The following is a 25,004-nucleotide window of genomic DNA, read 5'->3' on the forward strand; positions in this document are numbered from 1 at the left end:
AGACAGTATATCCCTTCTAGTTTGACCTTGTATAGGGGAGGTGACCCATGAGGCTTAAAGTCTTATCTCAGCACTCCCCTAACACATTTCACAAGACAACCCTGACATTTTTATGAAGAAACATATTAATCCTGAAGTTATCCTGAAGAGAAGCCATGCAAATGTGTACAATAGATAGTTTCATGAGTACTGCTACATAGTCAACAAATATATCTGGCTTCTTTTCTCTTTGACAAGACAGCTGGAGTTGAAATCCCCAGCTAGGACTAAAAGGAAACCAAACCATATAATGCTTAGAGCACATTCCTCCTGTGAATTATAAGAACCTTGAAAGTTTATGACTGTGTTCTGCATTAAGTTCCAGAATATTTATTAGTATATCAGAATCACCTAAAGCACATTGAGGGCCTAGAGAGCTTTCTTGCTTAGGAGAGGAAGAGGATCTATCTAATGGTCAAATGGGTTTCCTCAAGAGACAGTGATGTCATCACACAGAGCTGAATGACCACTTGGTAGACATGTTGCAGAAGAGAATCAAATAACATCTGGGTGCCTGGCAGGACATTTTGGCCTATCCCATTCTCAGTCTATTACTCTGGGCCCTTTCAGGTCCTTATGTGCGTTTTGGGGTATAATTACCTCGTTTTGTCTATCTTTTCTTTCCAGCGTTTTGAGGATGCTGTGTGTCTATGTGAAAGGAAAGGAAAGTATGGTGAAAAGGGGCAATGATTTCAGCTTAAAAACAAAACCAAAAACCCTCACCACTATATGATGAATTATTAATAGTATGGGAGATGAAGGGCTGTGAATTCATTGATGTAGTCACCAAAAGTTATAGCACCTGCATATTCCATTTCCTCAATCACTGCATACCTAATACTAATTAGAACACATTATTGGATTAGCTTACCTCCATGTCTTTTCAAAGAAATCTTTACCAAATGTGTCTGGTGGGCATTTTGGAGGCGTAGCCAAAGACTGCTTGAATAAATCAGTTAGGTGAGCTGCAACTTTAAACATAGATGTATTTAACTTTTATCCCCACTTCTTTATAGGGCAACACACAATCAGTACACAATTACTCATTTGAGATGCCTGTTAAGAGCCTATATAGTTAATCTATCAAGTGTTTACTAGGACTTACATGACCAAGCTGTAATACAACAGAAAACTAGACTACTTTTATGAAATATCCTACTAGAAAACACACAACTTATAGTCAAAATGTAAAATGCAGTGATATCTCATTTATCCCATATTATTAGGGGAAGTGGTGTTCTACTTAACTGAATTTCCTCATATCTGAAGCAGCAAACCTTAAAACAAATTAACCATAACATTGAAATTGTTTTTCTGGATATTTTCCTGTTCCCGAATCTAAGAACATGATTATAAGACAATGGTTGTTCAACAATTTAGGCAGCGATTCTCAGTTTATTCACAAAACACGCTCTTGGTGGGATGTCAATGGGAGATTAAAAAGAGGAAAAGATTTTCATGTTTCACGGTTATATGAGCTTGGGAAACACTGATTTATCCAAGGTTAAATAGGTTTCACTACTTTTCCGCATCTTTAATTAATTAACGTCATTGTGACTCACTAAGAAAATAAGACAATATGAAGCATTATCCAAACTTATTTTAATATGAAACTCATTTTTGGTGGAGTCTTCTCATAGATGAGTGTTTTAGGAAATACTATGGGAAAATATTGATTTAGGATCATTTTAATTAACATGTCAGGTATGCAACAGCTGTTTATTTCCTGGAACTGTTTGTTTAAAAAAATACGTTAGTTTGTATTTCACTTTTGGAAAACCTATGTGTTTTCCTTTGTTGTGCCTGTTCCTTGTCCCAGAGGTTAAAAATTCAAAAGCTACAGGGTAGCGTTGCCAGATAAAGTATAGGGCCCCTGGTTAAATTTGAATTTCAAATAAACAAACAACTTTTTATTATAAGTATATCCCAGGCTTCTGGGGACACACTGTGTCTCAGCCTGCTTTGTGTTGCTATAAAATAGTACCTGAGGCTGTGTAATTCATAAAGAAAAGAGGTTTCTTTGGCTCACAATTCTGCAGGCTGTGCAAGAAGCATGGTGCGGTCATCTGCTTCTGGTGAGGACCTTAGGCTACTTCCACTCATGGAAATGGGGGAAGGGGAGCCGGCATGTATAGAGATCACATAACGAAAAAGGAAGCAACAGAGAGAGGGGTGATGCCAGACTCATTTTACCAACCAGCTCTCATGGCAACTAATAGAGTGGGAATTCACTCACCACCAAGAGGACAGAAGGTACCAAGCCATTCATGAGGGATCCACCCCCATGACCCAAACACCTCCCATTAGGCCCCTCCTCCCTCCAACATTGGGGATCAAATTTCTTTTCTTTTCTATTTTTTGAGACAGGGTCTTGCTCTGTTGCACAGGCTGGAGTACAGTGGCATGATCTCTGCTCATTGCAACCATCACCTACCAGGCGAAAGCTATCCTCCCACCTCAGTCTCCAGAGTAGTTGGGACCACAGGCATGCACCACTACACCTGACTAATTTTTTTTTGTATTTTCCATAGAGATGGGGTTTCGCCATGTTGCCCAGGCTGGTCTCCAACACCTGGGCTCAAGAGAACCACCCACTTTGGCCTCCCGAAGTGCTAGGATTACAGGCAAGAGCCACCAGGCCGGGCCTGGGGATCAAATTTCAACATGCGATTTAAAGGGGTCAAACATCCAAACTATAGTGTACTTATACTAAAAAAAATTATTTGTCATTCATCTAAAATTTAACTAGGCCTTCTTTATTTTTATTCACTAAATCTGGCCACCCTACTACAGGAGTTGCCCAGGGTAAAAGGGTGACCACAGAGTATAGGGACACGGAGACATAGGGGGTTGTGATGGACTCCTGTGATGGTCATTCTAAAGAAGCAGCTGTCAATTATCTTCAGCCAAATTTACTATGTAATAATGTGAGATTTCAAGAGGAGAAAAATCTGGATAAACAACAACAACAATAAAAACAACTGTACAAGCCCACACTGTGGAGGATACTCAGAACCTATCTGTGGGCTGAATGAAGCGCATGGCTGCCAGTTTATGATCTTTGCCATATCGCCAACAAAACAAAACAAAAACGCACCAAATTCCTACTGCTTGTTTGCTGTGAGCTATGAAACCATCTAACCACATTTGTTAGGGCTGTGTATATATACCTCCAAATGAATATTCTTTGAATGAGATCTAAGAGTAAACTACTTGCACTACATACAGTGTAAAACAGTGCAAAGTTTTGGTTATAACAGTGTAGTTGCTCAAAAATTTTGTGTGTGGGAGGGCAGGCTGTTGGTTGGTTGACTGTTTCCTTCCTATATCTTCATTATAGTTGAGGCTAACATAAAAGTCAAATGTCAACATTTTTCACTTAATGGATGAAAGTTAAAGATGAATGAGAGAAAATCATGGTTTTCTAGGATGTCAAAGCTCAGGCAGAACAATACAGGCAGAATGACTTACAAATATAAACCACCACAACACAACATGGCCGATACAAGAATGGAGATATGTACATGGTGTCTTGTTATCAGATAAGAGAATGACCGATAAGTGTATTTAAGATGATTCCTTTGAAACTTGTAAATATACTGCAGAAGAATATTAAATGCAACTTACCTTCAGTAACATGACTTTTTGTAGTTTCCTCCATTTTAGGGAAAGACTGAAATGAAGATAGAATTACTTATGATGATTATATTACTTACAAGACTTACTTTGTTTAGAAACATTCTCTCAAGCTGATCTTTTGTAAAAACTACTATAAAATGAATTAGTTTAAAAATACTGATATAAAATTAATTTTTCTAGGTCATTCTTTCTACTTCACTAATGTCTAAAAATGGAAATGATTTTAACTTGTAAAAATTCCTTTTTCTTCTTCTTTCCTATTTCATTCATTAGTTCATTCAGCATTTCAATAAATATCAATTTCTTTTGAAGACAATAAAAGTTTCATTTAAGGGCCTTGTGAATTATTTATGAAGAGCCTAAAATGTATTTGGAAAATGCAATATATAGACAAATGGATTTCCACAAAAATTGAAAATTATGAGGAGGGAGCAAATGCTTCATGGAAGTGGCAGAAGCAGCTATTTCTTACGATATTTTGTCCTGAAACATTTAATATTGAAACAATAGTAAGAACATGGGTATACAAGGCATTTTCTCACCATAACCAGCTTGAGGAGATCAGCAGCATTGCCTCTCTCCTCCTCAGTTCTGGAATCTTTAACCATCATTTCCTGCAGCTCATCTTCTTTCTTTAGAATATAGTTTATGTAATCCTAAATCAGCAGAATAAAATACATAGACAAAAACTAGGAATTAGGAAGAGAGAGATACAAAAATGGTCATCAACTTGAAATATTACAAAAAATGAAGAATATATAGGTTTACAGTGCTCAACAACTGTTTACTAGTCAAACAACCTGAAAAGACTTTTTCTTAATATGTTAATAGGAAAAACCTGAGAAGTGCAAAAGCAAAGCTTTAAGGGCCACAGGATAGAACTGCATGGGGGCCTCAGAGAGGCCCTGTTTCTAACTGTGCACTTAAGTGTCCTCATCAATAAAATGGACAGAATTGGGTTAGATGATGTGTAGGATCCTTTCAGGTATAGTTTTTTTATTTTACCTGTAAATGGAATTTGCCTAGTTCATGTCTTTGCTTCGAAGAGAAACGTACTTTATTTTTTTCATAAGTATTTGATCAATTTCTATAACTAATAATACCCTGCTCTGTGCCAGGTGCTAGGTATATAACCATAAACAAAACACATATAATCCCTGTACTGAGGGAGTTAACAAACTTGAGATGTTATAGACATGATCATACAATTAACTATATATTTACAAATTCTTAGACCGCTTCCAAAGGCTTTTACTCTGTGGACAAATATATTAATATGTAGTTCTGTCTTTTTCCAGTGGTCACTATATCAGTTTTCTATACAGTGACAAAGATGGAGGGCACTATATAGTAATCATTTACAAAAAATTCTTACTTTTTCAATGTCTTTGGGGCTTCTTAATAATTTCTACACCTTATGGGAACCATTAAATATTTTCTACCTCTCAACCCTCTACTCTGAAAGACTGACATCCTTGTGTTGCACTAGACAAATATTGGTAGAATTACATAATTTCAGGTTTCTTAGGAAACCAAAAGCAATGATTGCTCTGTTTCTGATTCTTTTGGGTCAGGTCACCTAGATTCCATTACCTTAAGGGAAACCTGCAGCCTCAGTTTCACCTCATTCTTTATGACCTCATGCTGAATGAATTGGCGCATCTGTAGCACACTGGGGCTCTTGAGTATGGCACCCGGGGCACTCACTAGCTGTTTGGACTCAATGCAAAGGCCTTTCCAAATCTGAGTACCAAACGGAGGTCCTGGAGTTTTTTTCTGTTAACAAAACAAAGCAATAACACCACCAAAGAAATCAGAATGTTTTCACATTCAAATTTTTTTTAACTGTTCATTTATTACATAGATATCATAATAACTTTTTAGGGACACAGTGGTGAAAAAAAATCCTTAACCTCAAAAAGTTCTGCAAATATAAGGAAAATCGATAACAGAACTGGGCCTGCTTTCCTCTTTATTTATGTTACTAAGATACTGGATATTTAAAAATCCTGTTGCATGGTGTCCTGGGTAGGATGTAGAAGAGTGCTAAGCAATGTAATAGCAGCCTAGCTTATGACAAATGGATGTGGCTATTTCTTAGTATCCACAAGTAGCTGAAGACATTTGGAACTGAGCAGTCTTTCACTTTCTGGTTCTGTGTTGATTTTGACCTAGAAAGATTCTTTGCAAGAGAAATAATTCCATAGATCTGGGCCATCTTTGAGCTTAATCTAGACTAAGCATGCCTCCAGAGTCTGAGGATCCCTGGGGCAGAAAAATCTACCTTAGAGTAAACTCACATTATATGTTATACTTGTGATCGATTTTCAGGAATAGTGTGCTTTGCTGCCCTACTATGTTCTCAGGTGTGCTGGATGTGCTTCATTTCAAAAGGCCTGGCCTGTGACAGCCACTTAGGGGCTTTGCAGGCCTGTGCCACTCCTACCAGATGTAGAAGGTCAGAGCATAAGGGTTTCAGAGGATGAGAATAAACTTCCTTCAATAATCTTAGATGTGGCATACCCTTTGTCATCATGTAGTACTTAAAATTTGGATATAGCCTTAGTGTGCCATTTGGTGTGACCTCCTCATTTTCAGAGAAGGAAATGGAGACCCAGTGTGACTTGTCCAAGATCCCACTTTAATAAGGGGTAGAATCAGGACCAGAATTCAAGTCACCTTCATATTACCATGTTGACTATAGTCACCAAATTTAACCACAGGGCTAGGAGGTCATTGTAATCTTAAATGTTCATCATTTGTGTTTGCTATTACAAGGTTTAGTGTAGGACAGCAAAAATGATGACAATCAAAAACATTATCTCAATTAACACTACTATCAATCTCTGATCATACCATCAATAGCTTCACTGATTTAATTATTTAACACCTGACAATATGTTGGACATGTGACATAAATTGCTTGTAAAATGAAATGGTAAATTATGCAAGATGCAGGACTTCATTGATTCTTACCCAAGATATTTTATTTTTTTAAAAAATTTAGCTGGAGCTTCTCTTAACTGACATAATTACAATGTTTACTTTCTAACACTGCAATTGCAAATGTGCGTAAAATCCTTCATATTGTTCTTAGATGGTCAGTTCGTGCATTTTTAATATATGAAGAAAAAAAGGGAGAGTAAAAGGCACAAAATTGTGTGTTAAAATTAACAAATAAGAAATGATAGAAGGAAAGATTTCTGTATGATATAATATCAGTAATTCCATGACAGAGGTGTAACCTGGCTTACTCAGAAAGAATGTTTGCATATTATAGGAAGATGTTCAAGCCTGCAATACAGGATAAAAGAAATAAAACTGAAATGAGCTAGCCAGGAGTATTCCTCTGAAATGTTGTTGCCACATCTACAAATGTTAGAATCTTCAAATATAAAACTCCTTGAGCACATTAAAAATTTACATAAGAATGAAAATATATGAATATATGGGAGAAGACTTAAGACTCTGGTCCATTGCCCTTGGATGGATGTATACGCTAATAAAATGACTTTTTAGAAGAAATTATATACCTCAACTGAGGGAAATGTTTCCCATGACCTTGACCGGAGATTAGGAGGGACAATTGTATCTTCCTTTTTTACTTGCCATGGTGATGCTTCATGGAAAGGGCGAAGGACTGTGATGGTTAGGGTGCCTGGTTCAAAGAAAGTTGTCAGAAGACCATTACCCATTGAAAGTACTCAGAGAAAATGAAAACGCATTGACTAAATTCAACAAGCTCTTTTTGAACAGACTTAGACATGAAAGACTAATGAGACACAATGACTATACTTAGGAACCTTACAATCAAATAAGAAGGATGAAGCTTTTAGGCACTGTGACACCTAGAGACTAGATTTAGATCACCTGGAAGTATTCATTGACACCTCATCGTCCCTCACCAACCACATACAAGTTCTGTCAGTTCTCCCAATAAACTTGTTGAGTCCATCTTTTTCCCTCTCTGTGAACCCTACTTTATGTGCCTCAAAAAGATCCTGCTCTAGACTACAGCAACAACTGGTTTTGCCACCTATATATACTCTGTGAATGAACCTTCCCTTGCAGTCAGGGTGACTGATTATGTTAGTCCATGATGAAAACTCTTTTTTGCCTTCACATCGCTCATGAGATAAAAGATGGTCCTTAACATTCTTTTGCCTCTACCTCAACTTGTACTATTCTTCCCCTCTGTGCTTCAGCTACTTTGGCCTTTCCCCCAACCCGTGTTTTCCAATGCTTTATGCTTTCTCCTTTATGTTTTCTTTTCCAAAAAAGCTCTCTCTCTTACCTTAATTAACCATTACCTACCCACTAGCTCTTGGCTCAGGTGTCTTCAGGGAAGCCTTCTTGACTATGTCAGTTTCTTCTGTTAGATTCTCTCATAGAACTATGTTCTTTCCCCTCGGAGACCTTATCCCAACTTATAATCATACAGTTGTGTGACTTTATAGTTAACATCTATCTCTCCCAGTAACCTAAGAGCTCCACTGAAACAGGGTCCATGCCTGTTTTAGTTCACCATTGTATTCCTAACACCCAGCCAGTGTTTAGTACATGGTGGTTTGCCAAATAGAGGTTAGTTAAATGACTAACAAACCAATGTGAGATGAATTCTTATTCTCCCACAGTTCCATACATGCACCACACTGACTGGGGGTCAGTCAGAGTCCCCCATATTCCATATTCACAAAGAGCAAGGTGTATTAATGTCATGCACATGTGCATTGATAAACTAAAAGTTATAAGGGCACAGAAATGCAGGCATATTTATAAATGCACACAAAATGTATCCCAAAACACAGAAAAAAGATGAAATAACACACACACACACACACACACACACACACACACACACACAAACCTAGGCACAGCACATAGGTTTTGTACACAGATAATATGTAGGCTAATATCTATATTTAAATACACATATTACATATACTGGATGGTTCTTACTTAATGTTTTATGTATCTCTAACCTCTGGCAAACACCAATTTCTTTGAAGTTGATGAAAACAATGTAAGTACCCAATGAATGTAGCTTATATAAGTTACCGGGTATTTCAGGTTGGCATTATAACTCACCTATCAATTTCATCAAAGCAATATCTTCAAAATGACAAAAAATGAATTTACAAGAGATATCTCACTGTTCTTTGTTTTTTCTTACCAAGATGAAATGAACTCATAAATCAGAACTTTGGTACATACCTAAACACAGATACAAATCTGCGTATAGGAGAAGAGGGATACATACTCAGCGTATGCAGACTGGTGCTCAGATGTATCTTGATATACACATAAATTCAAGTAGCTATATAAATAAGTTGACATGACTTATTCATGTCAACTTATTTCTGCTCTACTTTCCAAAGTAGAGCAGAAAAGTGAGCAAAGCGGAAAAAGTAAGATGACATGAAGATAGACTGGATAGTAAGGAGGATGAGAATTGGCAAAGAGACACCGTGCATTCCAGACAGTATGGGTCCTCTACCTGGCTGTTCCTGCACTGGCTCTTGGAGAACAACAGTATTTGATTCTTTATATGCCAAAGATAGATATTCTTCTATGTCACTGTCTCGAAGAAGTTCCATTCCTGATCCATCAGCATACATAACAAAAAACCTATTTGAAGAAATAAAAATATAATCACTTCAAGTATTCCGTTAAAATTCTCCTTGAACTCAGAATTAAAAGTAAAATTATAGTATTATTCTTTTACCTGGGGACATGTTCACCATAGATTTGCTGATGATTCTTTTCAAGGTGCATAGAGGACAGACTATCATAGCCCTCAGTTTTCTCATTTAAATCATCTTCCAATTTTTTTTCAGGTAATATAGTTGATATGCTACCATCAGCCATGACCTAAGGGATAAAGTATGTAAGCAACTAAAAGAAAAGAAAGTCATAATGCTTAAACTTCTGCTGATTCAATTTGAGAAAACAGATGATTTGGTGGGTTTACTCACAAAATTGGAGATGTTTATTTGCAAGGTATTGTTTACTAAGTAGAGACTGCATTAATAAAAGTAAAAACCTAGCAGCATAACTCTACTTATAAATGACACCTAGAACAGGAACACAGACTGAAACATATTCAGAATGAAGTGAATAGGATGGGGAGGATACTCCAAACCTCATACTGTGAAGATAGGTTCAAGAAATTGGGAATTTAAACATGGAGGAATGGGTACTCATGCAATAGTTGTCTTGAATTATTTGCAAGGACCTTTGAATGGAAGGGGCTTATAATCTGGGATGTCAAACACACAATTGTGGCTCATGGGTAGAATACATTGGGAAATAGATTTAGTATGAATATGAGAAAAAATGTTCTAGTCCTTTATTACTGTCTAAATATGGCCCGGGTCTCTCCAGGAAGGGGTGTGATTCATGCTGCAAGACCACTGAAGGGGATGCCCAAGAGGAGTATCAATGCCCAGAAAAATGCTTGGCTTAGAGGGTTTTGAGCTTTAAGTTTCTACTTCAATTTGCTGTAAATTGAAATTTGTCAGTTTGAACTCATGCTGTGAAGAGTTTCAGTTACTTAGCAAAGAAAAAATAAGCTGGATCAGGGCTTATCTACATATCAAAACAAAGTTAGGAATTCTGTTGTATAACTCCAAATCTAAAAAATAACTTCATACCTACTAGCTGATAGACAAAATTTCACTGTTGAATGAGAAGTAAAAAAAAAAAAAAAAAGAAAAGAAAAAAGATAAATGCCTAGAGCAATGGTTGGCAAATCTTTTTTGTCACAGGCACGATAGTAAATATTTTAGAGTTTGAGTTTGCAGGCCATACATTCTCTGTTGCAGCTACTCAACTCTGCCATTATTGTGCAAAGCAGCCACAGACAGTATGTAAACAAATGAGCATGACTGTGTTCCAATAAAACTTTATAAAACGACATTGAAATTTGTATTTCCTATAATTTTATTGTGTCTTCTTCTTTTGCTTTTTCAAAAACCATTTACGCATATATGAAACCATTTTTAGTTCATGGGCTATAGATAAACAAGTGGCCATAGTTTGCCAATTCCTGACCTAGAGGTGAGGGGATAGTCGTGGTGTTGAAAGACAAAGAAGCAAATATTTTCTCCCATTCTGTAGGTTGTCTGTTTAGTCAGTTGATAGTCTGTTGATAGTTTCTTTTGCTGTACAGAAGCTTTTTAGTTTAATTAGGTCCCATTTGTCAGTTTTTGCTTTTGTTGCAATTGCTTTTGGTGTCTTTGCCATGAAATCTTTGCCAGAGTCTGTGACCAGAATGGTATTTTCTGGGTTTTCTTCAAGGGTTTTTGTAGTTTAGGTTTTACATTTAAGTCTTTAATACATCTTGAGACAATTGTTGTATATGGTGTAAGGAAGGGGTCTAGTTTCAATCTTCTGCATATAGCTAGCCATTTATCCCAGTACCATTTATTGACTAGGGAGTCCTTTCCTCATTGCTTGTTTTTGTTGGTTTTGTTGAAGATCAGATGATTGCAGGTGTGCAACTTTATATCTGGGCTCTCTATTTGGTTTCATTGGTCTATGCATCTGTTTTAGTACTGGTATCATGCTATTTTGGTTATTGCAGCCCTGTAGTACAGCTGAAGTTGGGTAATGTGATGCCTCAACCTTTGTTCTTTTTGCTTAGGATTGCTTTGGCTATTTGGGCTCTTTTTTTGGTTCCATGTGAATTTTAGAATAGCTTTTTCTGATTCTGTGAAGAATGTCATTGGTACTGTGATAGGAATAGTCTTGAATCTGTAAATTGCTTTGGGCAGTATGGCCATTTTAACAATATTGATTGTTCCTATCCATGATCATGGAATGTTTTCCCATTTGGTTGTGTCATCTCTGATTTCTCTTATCAATGTTTTGTAATTCTCAGTGTAGAGAACTTTCACCTCCCTGGTTAGCTGTATTCTTAGGTATTTTATTTTTTGGTGGCTATTGTGAATAGGATTGTGTTCTTTTATTATTATTATTATACTTTAAATTCTAGGGCACATGTGCGTGCAGGCTTGATACATAGGTATACATGTGCCATATTGGTTTGCTGCACCCATCAACCTGTCATTTACATTAGGTATTTCTCCTAATGCTATCCATCCCCCAGCCTCCTACCCCCGACAGTCCCCCATGTGTGATGTTCCCCGCCCTGTGTCCAAGTGTTCTCATTGTTCAATTCCCACCTATAAGTGAGAACATGTGGTGTTTTGTTTTCTGTCCTTGTGACAGTTTTCTGAGAATGATGTTTCCAGTTTCATCCATGTCCCTCCAAAGGACATTAACTAATCCTTTTTTATGTCTGCATAGTATTCCATGGTGTATATGTGCCACATTTTTTTAATCCAGTCTATCATTGATGGATATTTGGGTTGGTTCCAAGTCTTTGCTATTGTTAATAGTGCGGCAGTAAACATACGTGTGCATGTATCTTTATAGTAGCATGATTTATAATCCTTTGGGTGCATACCCAGTAATGGGATTGCTGGGTCAAATGTTATTTCTGGTTCTAGGGCCTTGAGGAATCACCATACCATCTTCCACAATGGTTGAACTAGTTTACACTCCCACCAACTGTAAAAGTGTTCCTATTTCTCCACATCCTCTCCAGCATCTGTTGTTTCCTGACTTTTTAACGATTGCCATTCTAACTGGCATGTGATGGTATCTCATTGTGGTTTTGATTTGCATTTCTCTGATGACCATGATGATGAGCATTTTTTCATGTGTCTGTTGGCTGCATAAATGTCTTCTTTTGAGAAGTGTCTGTTCATATCCTGTGCCCACTTTTTGATGGGGTTGTTTTTTTCTTGTAAATTTGTTTAAGTTCTTTGTAGATTCTGGATATTAGCCCTTTGTCAGATGAGTAGATTGCAAAAATTTTCTCCCATTCTGTAGGTTGCCTGTTCACTCTGATGGTAGTTTCTTTTGCCGTACAGCAGCTCTTTAGTTTAATTATATCTCATTTGTCTATTTTGGCTTTTGTTGCCATTGTTTTTGGTGTTTTAGTCATGAAGTACTTGCCCATGCCTATGTCCTGAATGGTATTGCCTAGGTTTTCTTCTAGGGTTTTTATGGTTTTAGGTCTAACATGTAAGTCTTTAATCCATCTTGAATTAATTTTTGTCTAAGGTGTAAGGAAGGGATCCAGTTTCAGCTTTCTACATATGGCTAGCCAGTTTTCCCAGCATCATTATTAAACAGGGAATCCTTTCCCCATTTCTTATTTTTGTCAGGTTTGTCAAAGATCAGATGTTTGTAGATGTGTGGTGTTATTTCTGAGGCCTCTGTCCTGTTCCATTGGTCTATATCTCTGTTTTGATACCAGTACCATGCTGTTTTGGTAACTGTAGCCTTGTAGTATAGTTTGAAGTCAGGTAGCATGATGCCTCCAGCTTTGTTCTTTTTGCTTAGGATTGTCTTGGCAATGTGGGCTCTTTCTTGGTTCCATATAAACTTTAAAGTAGTTTTTTCCAATTCTGTGAAGAAAGTCATTGGTAGCTTGATGGGGATGGCATTGAATCTATAAATTACCTTGGGCAGTATGGCCATTTTCACAATATTGATTCTTCCTATCCATGAGCATGGAATGTTCTTCCATTTGTTTATGTCCTTTTCTATTTAGTTGAGCAGTGGTTTGTAGTTCTCCTTGAAGAGGTCCTTCACATCCCTTGTAAGTTGGATTCCTAGGTATTTTATTCTCTTTGTAGCAATTGTGAATGGTGGTTCACTCACGTTTGGCTCTCCGCTTGTCTGTTATTGATGTATAGGAATGCTTGTGATTTTTGCACATTGATTTTGTATCTTGAGATTTGCTGAAGTTGCTTATCAGCTTAAGGAGATTTTGGGCTGAGATGATGGGGTTTTCTAAATATACAATCATGTCATCTGCAAACAGGGACAATTTGACTTCCTCTTTTCCTAATTGAATACCCTTTATTTCTTTCTCTTGCCTGATTGCCCTGGCCAGAACTTCTGACACTATGTTGAATAGGAGTGGTGAGAGAGGGCATCCTTGTCTTGTGCCGGTTTTCAAAGGGAATGCTTCCAGTTTTTGCCCATTCAGTATGATATTGGCTGTGGGTTTGTCATAAATAGCTCTTATTATTTTGAGATACGTTCCATTGATACCTAGTTTATTGAGAGTTTTTAGCATGAAGTGCTGTTGAATTTTGTTGAAGGCCTTTTCCGCATCTATTGAGATAATCATGTGGTTTTTGTTGTTGGTTCTGTTTATGTGATGGATTATGCTTAATGGTTTGCGTATGTTGAACCAGCCTTGCATCCTGTGAATGAAGCCGACCTGAACATGGCGGATAAGGTTTTGATGTGCGGTTGGATTCAGTTTGCCAGTATTTTATTGAAGATTTCACATCGATGTTCATCAGGGACATTGGTCTAAAATTCTCCTTTTTTGTTGTGTCTCTGCCAGGCTTTGATGTCAGGATGATGTTGGCCTCATAAAACAAGTTAGGGAGGATTCCCTCTTTTTCTATTGATTGGAATAGTTTCAGAAGGAATGGTACCAGGTCCTTTTTGTGCCTGTGGTAGAATTCAGCTGTGAATCTGTCTGGTCCTGGACTTTTTTTGGCTGGTAGGCTATTAATTATTGCCTCAATTTCAGAGCCTGTTATTGGTCTATTCAGAGATTCAACTTCTTCCTGGTTTAGGCTTGGGAGGGTGTATGTGTCCAGGAATTTATCCATTTCTTCTAGATTTTCTAGTTTATTTGCATAGAGGTGTTTATAGTATTCTCTGATGGTAGTTTGTATTTCTGTGGTATCCGTGGTCATATCTCTTTTATCATTTTTTATTGTGTCTATTTGATTCTTCTCTCTTTTCTGCTTTATTAGTCTTCCTAATGGTCTATCAATTTTGTTGGTCTTTTCAAAAAACCAGCTCCTGGCAATTCATTGATTTTTTGAAGGGTTTTTTGTGTCGCTATCTCTTTCAGTTCTGCTCTGATCTTAGTTATTTCTTGCCTTCTGCTAGCTTTTGAATTTGTTTTCTCTTGTTTTTCTAGTTCTTTTAATTGTGATGTTAGGGTGCTGATTTTAGATATTTCCTGCTTTCTCTCATGGGCATTTAGTGCTACAAATTTCCCTCTACACACTGCTTTAAATGTGTCCCAGAGATTCTGGTATGTTGTGTCTTTGTTCTCATTGGTTTCAAAGAACATCTTTATTGCTGCCTTTATTTTGTTATTTACTCAGTAGTCATTCAGGAACAAGTTGTTAAGTTTCCATATATTTGTGTGGTTTTGAGTGAGTTTCTTAATCCTGAGTTCTAATTTGATTGCACTGTGGTCTGAGAGACAGTTTGTTGTGATTTCTGTTCTTTAACATTTGCTGAGGAGTGCTTTACTTCCAATTACGTGGTCAATTGTAAAATAAGTGTGATGTGGTGCTGAGAAGAATGTATATTCTGTTGATTTGGGGCGGAGAGTTCTGTAGATGTCTATTAGTTCTGCTTGGTGCAGAACTGAGTTCAAGTCCTGGATATCCCTGTTAACCTTCTGTCTCATTGATCTGTCTAATATTGACAGTGGGGTGTTAAAATCTCCCATTACTATTGTGTGGGAGTCTAAGTCTCTTTGTAGGTCTCTAAGGACTTGCTTTATGAATCTGGGTGCTCCTGTATTGGGTGCATATATATTTAGAATAGTTAGTTCTTCTTGTTGAATTGATCCCTTTACAAATATGTAATGGCCTTCTTTGTCTCTTTTGATCTTTGTTGGTTTAAAGTCTGTTTTATCAGAGACTAGGATTGCAACCCCTGCTTTTTTTTTGTCTTTCCATTTGCTTGGTAGATCTTCCTCTATCCCTTTATTTTGAGCCTATGTGTGTCTTTGCACATGAGATGGGTCTCCTGAATGCAGCACACTGATGGGTCGTGACTCTTTATCCAATTTGCCAGTCTATGTCTTTTAATTGGGGCATTTAGCCCATTTACATTTAAGGTTAATATTGTTATGTGTGAATTTGATCCTGTCATTATGATGTTAGCTGGTTATTTTGCCCATTAATTGATGCAGTTTCTTCATAGCATAGATGGTCTTTACAATTTGGCATGTTTTTGTAGTGGCTGGTACTGGTTGTTTCTTTCCATGTTTAGTGCTTCCTTCGGGTGCTCTTGTAAGGCAGGCCTAGTGGTAACAAAATCTCTCAGCATTTGCTTGTCTGTAAAGGATTTTATTTCTCCTTCACTTATGAAGCTTAGTTTGGCTGGATATGAAATTTGGGGTTGAAAACTCTTTTCTTTCAGAATGTTGAATATTGGCCCCCACTCTCTTCTGGCTTGCAGGGTTTCTGCCAAGAGATCCACTGTCAGTCTGATGGGCTTCCCTTTGTGGTAACTCGACCTTTCTCTCTGGCTGCCATTAACATTTTTTCCTTCATTTCAACCCTGGTGAATTTGACACTTGTGTCTTGGGGTTGCTCTTCTCGAGGAGTATCTTTGTGATGTTCTCTGTATTTCCTGAATTTGAATGTTGGCCTGCCTTGCTAGGTTGAGGAGTTCTCCTGGATAATATCCTGAAGAGTGTTTCCCAACTTGGTTCCATTCTCCCCATCACTTTCAGGTCCATCAGTCAAACATAGATTTCATCTTTTCACATAGTCCTGTATTTCTTGGAGGCTTTGTTTGTTTCTTTTTACTCTAAATTTCTTTTCTCACTTTATTTCATTAATTTGATCTTCAGTCACTTATACCCTTTCTTCCACTTGATCAAATCAGCTATTGAAGCTTGTGCATGTGTCATGAAGTTCTCATGTCATGGTTTTCAGCTCCATGAGGTCATTTAATGTCTTCTCTACATGGTTTATTCTACTTAGCCATTCGTCTAAGCTTTTTTCAAGGTTTTTAGCTTCCTTGCGATGGGTTTGAACATGTTCCTTTAGCTCAGAGAAGTTTGTTATAACTGACCTTCTGAAGCCTACTTCTGTCAACTCATCAAAGTCAGTCTCCATCCAGCTTTGTTCTGTTGCTGGTAAGGAGCTGTGATCCTTTGGAGGAGAAGCACTCTGATTTTTAGAATTTTCAGCTTTTCTGCTCTGGTTTCTCCCCACCTTTGTCGTTGTATCTACCTTTGGTCTTTGATGTTGGTGACCTACAGATGGAGTTTTGGTGTAGATGTCCTTTTTGTTGATGCTGACACTATTCCTTTCTGTTTGTTACTTTTCCTTCTAATAGTCAGGTCCTTCAGCTGCAGGTCTGTTGGAGTTTGCTGGATGCCTGGGTATCACTAGTGGAGGCTGCAGAACAACAAATATTGCAGAACTGCAAATATTGCTGCCTGATCCTTCCTCTGGAAGCTTCGTCCCAGAGGGGCACCTGCCTATATGAGGTGTCTGTTGGCCCCTACTGGGAGGTGTCTCCCAGTTAGGCTACACGGGGGTCATGGACCCACTTGTGGAGGCAGTGTGTCCCTTCTCGGAGTTCAAACGCCATGTTGGGAGAACCACTGCTCTCTTCAGAGCTGTTGGACAAGGATGTTTAAGTCTGCAGAAGTTGTCTGCTGCCTTTCGTTCAGCTAAGCCCTGCCCACAGAGGTGGAGACTAGAGGCAGTAGGCCTTGCTGAGCTGTGGTGGGCTTTGCCCATTTCGAGCTTCCTGGCTGCTTTGTTTACCTACTCAAGCCTCAGCAATGGCGGACCCCCTCCCCCAGCCAGGCTGCTGCCTCACAGTTTGATCTCAGGCTGCTGTTTAGCAGTCAGCAAGGCTCCTTGGGCGTGAGATCCACCAAGCCAGGCATGGGAGAGAATCTCCTTATCTGTTGGTTGCTAAGACCATTGGAAAAGCACAGTATTTGGGCAGGAATGTCCTGTTTTTCCAGGTACAGTTTGTCATGGTTTCCCTTGGCTAGGAAAGGGAAATCCCCTGACACCTTGCACTTCCCAGGTGAGGCGGATGCCCTGCCCTGCTTCATCTTGCCCTCCGTGGGCTGCACCCACTGTCCAACTGGTCCCAGTGAGATGAACCAGGTACTTCAGTTGGAAATGCAGAAATCACCCATCTTCTGTGTCGATCACACTGGGAGCTGCAGATTGGAGCTGTTCCTATTCAGCCATCTTCAGGATTGTGTTCTTGATTTGGCACTCAGCTTGGATGTTGGTCCACTTCCCCACTTTCAACCCTACTGTATCCTTCTTACCATCTTACTCTGTGACTACTCAAAGAAACTTGCCTCCTGTCTTGTGTTTGCTCTGACTTCAACTTGGATAAGGACCATTGCCACATCATTCTTTATGTTGGCATTATTTTCAGATGTCTGCTACTGTTTCTTCCTTTCTGTTCTAATTATTTATTTAGCCCTAACATTTCTATCCCACCAATTATTCGGCTTGCCATTCTCCATGAAAGTACACTTAAGAATCAAAGGAAATGTATTGACATTCATTACTGCTTGCCCAAAGTATTGGCAGTAAGTGGATAATTAATCCCAAGGCAACTAAGGTAAAAATCTACATGGAAGCTTTGTAGTGTGAAATATCTCAAAAGCAAAGCCACAGGCTCTCTCTCCATACCAAAGGTGCACTTTACCTGAAAAGTGTTTCCCTCAGGATCCAGAACCTCACAGATAACCTCTGAAGTATGCCTCATGATGTACCTGCCAGCTCGCAGCTGCTCACGCTTTTGAAAAGGATAGTATATATTACTGCTTGACTCATGGCAGTACACAGCTGAACAATCCTTGTCAATATAAAGAGAGCCTGTGTTTGGAGGTAACACCTGAAAGAGTAACAGAAAGACAGAAATTATTAAAATTTTCTTGTTAAATATGTGGGACTTGGAAAACCATTTTAGGAGAAAGAATACCCATAGATCCTAGTCACAAACTGTGTTTGCAGGAGGAAAACATTAATCAAGGGAGGACTTAAGGTTTGGAAAGGGCTACTCGATAAAGAGGCAAACTGAATAGTTAGGATATCATTTCTCCTGTATCCTCATATCTTATCTGCTCGCTTTAATATCTCTTCTAACTAATTGTCTTATGCCCCCTTATTTCTAATATTTAACATATTTTAGCTGAGGTTACATACATGTTTGGCCCTATTCATCCTATTCTAAATGTTTGGGGTTGCTCATGATCTTGGATAAGAAGCATCTCTGAAAGGGTATAAAACTGTGCGATAAGTGCTCTTAGAAACTCATCTCTCCTCTCTCTGGTGGCTGACACGGTCCTTAAGTAATAGACTTCATGTAATGAATTCTGGTTCAAACAGATCTTTTTCCGAAATATAATTTACATATCATAGATTTACCCTTTAAAAGTGTATAATTCCGTGGGTTTTAGTATATTCAAAAATGTGTGAAGCCATTATCACTAATTCCGTAACACTTTTATCATCGCCCAAAGAAACGCTGATCCTGTTAGAAATCTTTCTGGATCACTAGGCCTTAGGCCCTGGCAGCCACTAATCTACTGTCTATGGATATACCTATTCTAGATACTTCATTTAAATGGAAGCATGTACTCTGTGGCCTTTTGTGTCTGGCTTCTTTCAGTTAGCATAATGTTTTCAAGGTTCACTCATGTTGTAGCACACAGTACTTTATTCCATTTTATGGATAAGTAATATTCCATTGTATGGCTATATCAGATTTTCTTTATTCACTTATGAGTTGCCATCATTTGCATTGTTTTCAGTTTTGCTATTATTAAAGATGTTGCTGTAAATATTGTGTACAAGTTTTTGTGCAGATGTATGTTTTCTCTTGGATATATACCTAGGAGTGGAATTGCTGGGTCATATGACAACTAAGTTTACCTTTTGAGGAAGTGCCAAGTTGTTTTCCAAAGTGACTATACCATTTTCCAAGTGACTAACCACTTTCCAAAGTGACTTATACCATCAGCAATTTCTGAGGGTTCCAATTTCTCCATACCTTTGCTAACACTTGTGATTATCTGTCTTTTTGATTACAGTTTTCTAGTGGGTGTGAAGTGATATCTCATTGCAGTTTGCGCTGCAGCTCCCTCACAACTAATGATGTTGAGCATCTTTTCTTGGCTTATTTGCTATTTGCATATCTTTGGAGAAATTCAAATCCTTTGCTCATTTTAAAGTGGGTTATTAGTCTTTTTATTGTTGAGTTATGAGAGTTCTAAGTTGTAGGGTACTCTGTACATGAGACCATTATCAGTTATATGATTTTCAAATAACATCTTCTATTCTGTAGTTTATCTTTTCACGTTCTTGGTGGTGTCCTTTGAATCACAAACTTTTTTTTGATTTTGGTAAAGCTTGTATGTTTGGCATCATATCTAAGAAACTATTGCCTAATCAAAAACATGAAAATTTATATCTATGTTTTCTTTCATCTCTCACTTCCAGCACCTTCCTTGCCCCATAATAATCTACACTGGATGAAGAGGTGGAAGGATAACATTATCAGAAGAGATGAGAGGGATAAACTGACTTCAGCAACTTTCACAGTAACAAATGTTTGCCAGTGAGATCTTTGTCTATCATCTTCTAGCTTTTAGCTCTCAGTATCTAGTGACATTGTTTGCAATATTTTTGCTCTAGTGTCCTTTCTCCAGCAAGTGAAAAGCTGAAAGCAAGTCCTTTTAAGGCTAAAGGAACTGCATGCTGACACTGGATGGTTGTGTTTAAAGGGGAAATGCAGAAAGGTAGGGAAGGTGCTAACTGCTCCTCCTTGGCCTTCCAAGGACAGAGCTTTGCTTCAGCTAGGAGAACTGCCCTCCAGGGACCACACACACCATGTGCTCTGTCTTGTGCTGCTAGGACTTTGAGTAGAGTAGTGAGGACTGACTGGAGGTGGGAAGGATGGATAATGAGAATGAGGGTCGAGGCGGCAGGAGGTGAAGCTGGTCTGTTAGGCACAAGCCAAACCATCTAAGTGTTTCTAACACCCACAGTGCCTAGCACATAAGAAATCCTCAACTAACACATTTTGGTTTATAACCTTGGTCCAAAACTACCGAAGTTTTGCAAAACAAGCAGGACAATGTTTTTCTGGCATGGGATGTAAAAAGGGATGAATAAATAAGAGTTTGAGAAGTATATTCTAAGATGTTAGTATTATAAGAGAATGAAAGCAACAGCAGTGTACATTGCAGGCATTTTTACTGCCCCAGAGAAGTGGGTTTTCTCAGCTGAATAGACACTCATCTTTGGCGCTTCTCATTTTCCTCGTAGACCTACCTGGTATGTTCCCTGTGGCTTTGCAATAATAGTTGTTCCATCTCCAAAGGTGGCACAGCAGCTACTGTCCTCACAGTTGGCGATAACAGTGGCATAGCGTGAGCTTTCTACCCGCATACACTTCACCTGCCTGGTGACAGTCCGAGGACCCTCGGCTACAAGCAAATGCAAGGTAAGCAGATCTGATAGGATGTAGACATTGCAAAACAGACCTCAGCCTATTGATTTTGCTGCTGTTTCCTGGCTGTCTGGATTCCCCATGGAAAAAACACAATTGTAAAGTCTAGAGCAAGTACTGAGAACTCCACAGGGTTGGAGTGTGGCCTGCTGTTCTTGTCAATTCATAATAATTCTTCCAGAAAAAATCTTCTTAATTTAGTATGCTGTCTTATTCTCACTATTTATTTGCAGGAGTTGAGAACATCTGATTTTTCAACTTGAAAAATTGAAAAGCATAAAATATAATTTAAGCACTCAGATATTCATCAATTAAAATTTATACTTTTTAATACATATGTAAAATAAAAATTACAGATAATATTGAAGTTTCTCCTTATATCTGGGCTTATTTCTATCTTGAAATTCATTTTTACACTTTTATGTACATATATATCATGAACAATATAAATGTGTGTGCTTTAAATGTATGTAAGCTATATGTTACTCTATGTATTTATGTAATTACTGTACTGTCATTCTACACCTGCTTTTTTCATTTAATACAGTTTCAAGACCTCGAACCATCTTGATCTATATGTATCCATCCATCTATCTATACATATATGTGTGCATAGATATATTTATTTGTGTGTGTATGACTCCCCTTAACAACCTTATAGTATTATTTTGTAGGAATTTACCACATTTTGTTTTTCTATTCTGCCACTGATGGACATTTATATTTTCCCAATATTTCAATATTATACTCAATGCTGCAAGTCACTCCTCTGTATTTGTTTCCTTGTGCAAATGTGTATGAGTGTCCCTCTCTCTATAAGCAGAAATAAAGTTAGTGCATCATAATATGATATGCATGATTTTGTGGGTGGGGTGGGGAGATGTAGGTCAAAGCATATAAAGTTACAATTATACAATTATGTAAGATGAATAAGTATAAGAATGTAATGTATAGCATAAAAACTATAGTCAATAACTTGTATTGTATAATGACGATTTTCCAAGAGTGTAGACTTTAGGTGCTCATAACACACACACACACACACACACACACACACACACACACACAAACTATATGAGGTAAGAGATATATTAATTTGCTTCACTTAGTCCACTATGTATATGGATATCAAAATATCATTTTGTACATCTTAAATATATCCAATAAAAACATTGACATTAAGGAAAGGGAACTCACGGAATAACTTCTCATTAAAAATATTTCTTAAATTAAGGTTCAGAAGAGTGGAAGGCTTTTAGAGTCTTTGAGCAGGTTCCAGTTAATTAGCAGCTACCGTTTCCTTTTTTCTGATGCCACCTTTCTGACGAAAGACATGCTGAGACTGAAGACCTATCTGAGGTCACCTATTTATGCAAATTAGATGCCTTGAGGATCAAAGGAAACATCTGAAAGCTAGTATCTAGGACAGATGAATATGGTTATTAGGTTTTAGTTGCCACCAATCAAAGACTATTACTAACCATCAGCTAACTAGAGCTGTTATCACTCCCATCTCTGTTGAGATAATGATCATAATAAAAGGTCCTAATGCATCCTCATATTCATTGCAGCATTATTCACAAAAACCAAGATTTGGAATCAGTCTACATGTTCATCAATGGATGAATAAATAAGGAAAATAAAGAAAATAAAGAAAATAAAGTAAATATAGGCAATAGAATACTATTCAGTGTTAAAAAAAAAGAAATCTGTCATTTGCAACAATATGGATAAACCTGGAGGACATTATTTTAAGTAAAATAATCCAGGTACAGAAAGACAAATAGCACACTTATATGCAGATTCTACAGAAGTTGAACTCATGCAAGTAGAGAGTAGAATGGTAGTTACCAGCCATTGGGGTGAGGAATTGGGGAGATGTTGGTCAAAGGATATAAAATTTCAGTTATATAAGAGGAATAAATTAAAGAGATATACTGTATAACATGGTGACTATAGTAAATAACATATTGTATTTTGAAAATTTCTAAGAGAGTAGATTTTAAGTATTCTCACAATTAAAAATGATAAGTACAAAGAACAAAGCTGGAGGCAACCGTAACCGTGCTACTCAACTATAAGCTATACTACAGGACTACAGTAACCAAAATGGCATGGTACTTGTACCAAAACAGCAAAACAGACACATAGACCAATGGAACAGAATAGAGAGCCCAGAAATAAAGCCACACACCTACAGTCATCTGATCTTAAACAAATCAACAAAAACAAGCAATGATGAAAGGACTCCCTATTCAATAAATGGTACTGAGATAAATGGCTGGCCATATGCAGAAGATTGAAACTGCACCCCTTCCTTACACCATATAGAATAATTATCTAAAGATGAATTAAAGAATAAAATGTAAAACCCAAAATTATAAAAACCCTGAAAGACAACCTAGGCAATACCATTCTAGACGTAGCAACAGGCAAAGATTTCATGACAAAGATACCAAAAGCAATTGCAACAAAAGCAAAAATTGACAAGTGAGATCTAATTAAAACAAAGAAATTCTGCACAGCAAAAGAAACTATCAACAGACTAAACTGACAACCTACAGAATGGGAGAAAATATATACAAACTATGCATCTGACAAAGGTTCATACATGCTAACATCCAGCATCCGTAAGGAATTTAAACAAATTAGCAAGCAAAAAACCAAACAACCCCATTAAAAAGTGGGCAAAAAACATGAACAGTTTTCAAAAGAAGACATAAACGTGGCCAAAAAACACATGAAGAAAAGCTCAACATCACTGAACATTAGAGAAATGCAAATCAAAACCACAATGAGATACACTCTCACATCAGTCAGAATGGCAATTATTAAAAGGCCAAAAAGTAACAGATGCTGGCCAGGTTGCAGCAAAAAATGAATGCTTATACACTGCTGGTGGGAATTTAAATTAGTTCAGCCACTGTGGAAGACAGTGTGGTGATTCTTCAACGACCTGAATACAGAAGTACTATTCGACCCAGCAATCCCATTACTGGGTATATACCTAAAGGAATATAAATCATTTTACTGTAGAGACACATACACACATATGTTCACTGTAGCACTGTTCACAATAGTAAAGATATGGAATCAACCTAAATGCCCATCAGTGGTAGACTGGAGTAAGCAAATGGCATACATATACACCACGGAATACTATGCAGCCATAAAAACAAACACGATCACATCCTTTGCTGGAAAACGCATGGAGCTGGAGGCCATTACCCTTAGCAAACTAACACAGGAAGAGAAAACCAAATACCGCTTCATCTCACTTATAAGTGGGAGCCAAATGATGAAAACACATGGACCTATAGAGGGGAACAACAGATACTGGGGCCTACTGGAAGGTAGGAAGAAGGAGAGGATCAGAAAAAATAACTTATGGGTACTAGGTTTAATACCTGGGTGACAAAATAATCTGTACGGCAAACCCTGTTACATGAATTTGGCTATATTACAAACCTGTACATGTACCCCTTAACTTAAAAGTTTTAAATAAATGAATACATAAATAAAACACACACACACACAGACACACACACACACACAGTGAGGAGTGTGTTGGAGAAACTTTTGGCTGCTGGGTGCTGCTGGTCAAAAAAAATTTCTAAGAAAGTAGACAGATTTTAAGTTTTCTCACAACTAAAAATAAGTATCTGAGGGTAATGCATACGTTAATTCACTTGATTGAGTCATTTTGCAATGTATACTTATTTCATCACATCATATTATTTATTATATATATATATACACAATATCTGTCAATTAAAAGAATAAATTAAATTTTATAAAGCAAATATCAAAATAAGTAATGATGATAATAATAATACTACTAAATCCTTATAGACCCTGCTTTGGATGGCATGGGTTTTCTTTAGTTGGCTAACTTTACCAAAAAATTATTTTTCTTATGTGTATGTTCAGCAGTCAGTGAGGATTCTATCTAACTTACGCTAAAGAGTTATAAAATA

At 37.5% G+C, this 25,004-nt stretch overlaps 1 protein-coding gene across 15 annotated transcripts in view, besides 1 other annotated feature; it reads right to left on the reverse strand.

Moving 5' to 3' along the window:
- Window positions 1-25,004, reverse strand: part of SPAG17 (sperm associated antigen 17) — a 231,639-nt gene that overhangs the window by 33,605 nt on the left and 173,030 nt on the right. For all 15 annotated transcript variants that reach the window (XR_946574.2, XM_006710427.4, XM_006710426.4 and 12 more), the window contains 10 exons: window positions 20,850-21,004; window positions 18,220-18,408; window positions 9,404-9,549; window positions 9,176-9,306; window positions 7,212-7,336; window positions 5,272-5,454; window positions 4,221-4,334; window positions 3,667-3,712; window positions 911-1,010; window positions 640-687 (listed from right to left, as the gene is read on the reverse strand). Coding sequence is in view for 14 of the 15 variants with exons in the window: in XM_006710427.4 (XP_006710490.1) it covers window positions 640-687; window positions 911-1,010; window positions 3,667-3,712; window positions 4,221-4,334; window positions 5,272-5,454; window positions 7,212-7,336; window positions 9,176-9,306; window positions 9,404-9,549; window positions 18,220-18,408; window positions 20,850-21,004 (1,237 nt within the window). In the remaining variant the exon portion in view is untranslated. The remainder of the gene's footprint in view (window positions 1-639; window positions 688-910; window positions 1,011-3,666; window positions 3,713-4,220; window positions 4,335-5,271; window positions 5,455-7,211; window positions 7,337-9,175; window positions 9,307-9,403; window positions 9,550-18,219; window positions 18,409-20,849; window positions 21,005-25,004) is intronic.
- Window positions 16,843-17,358: an enhancer, noted in NCBI's record as "H3K27ac-H3K4me1 hESC enhancer chr1:118546660-118547175 (GRCh37/hg19 assembly coordinates)". NCBI's record gives its function as "activates a minimal SCP1, AML or CMV promoter by ChIP-STARR-seq in naive H9 embryonic stem cells {active_cell/tissue: H9 hESC(naive)}" and the evidence as "EXISTENCE:reporter gene assay evidence [ECO:0000049][PMID:30033119]".

Source organism: Homo sapiens, chromosome 1, assembly GCF_000001405.40.
Source record: "Homo sapiens chromosome 1, GRCh38.p14 Primary Assembly".
NCBI classification, from domain to species: Eukaryota; Metazoa; Chordata; class Mammalia; order Primates; family Hominidae; genus Homo; species Homo sapiens.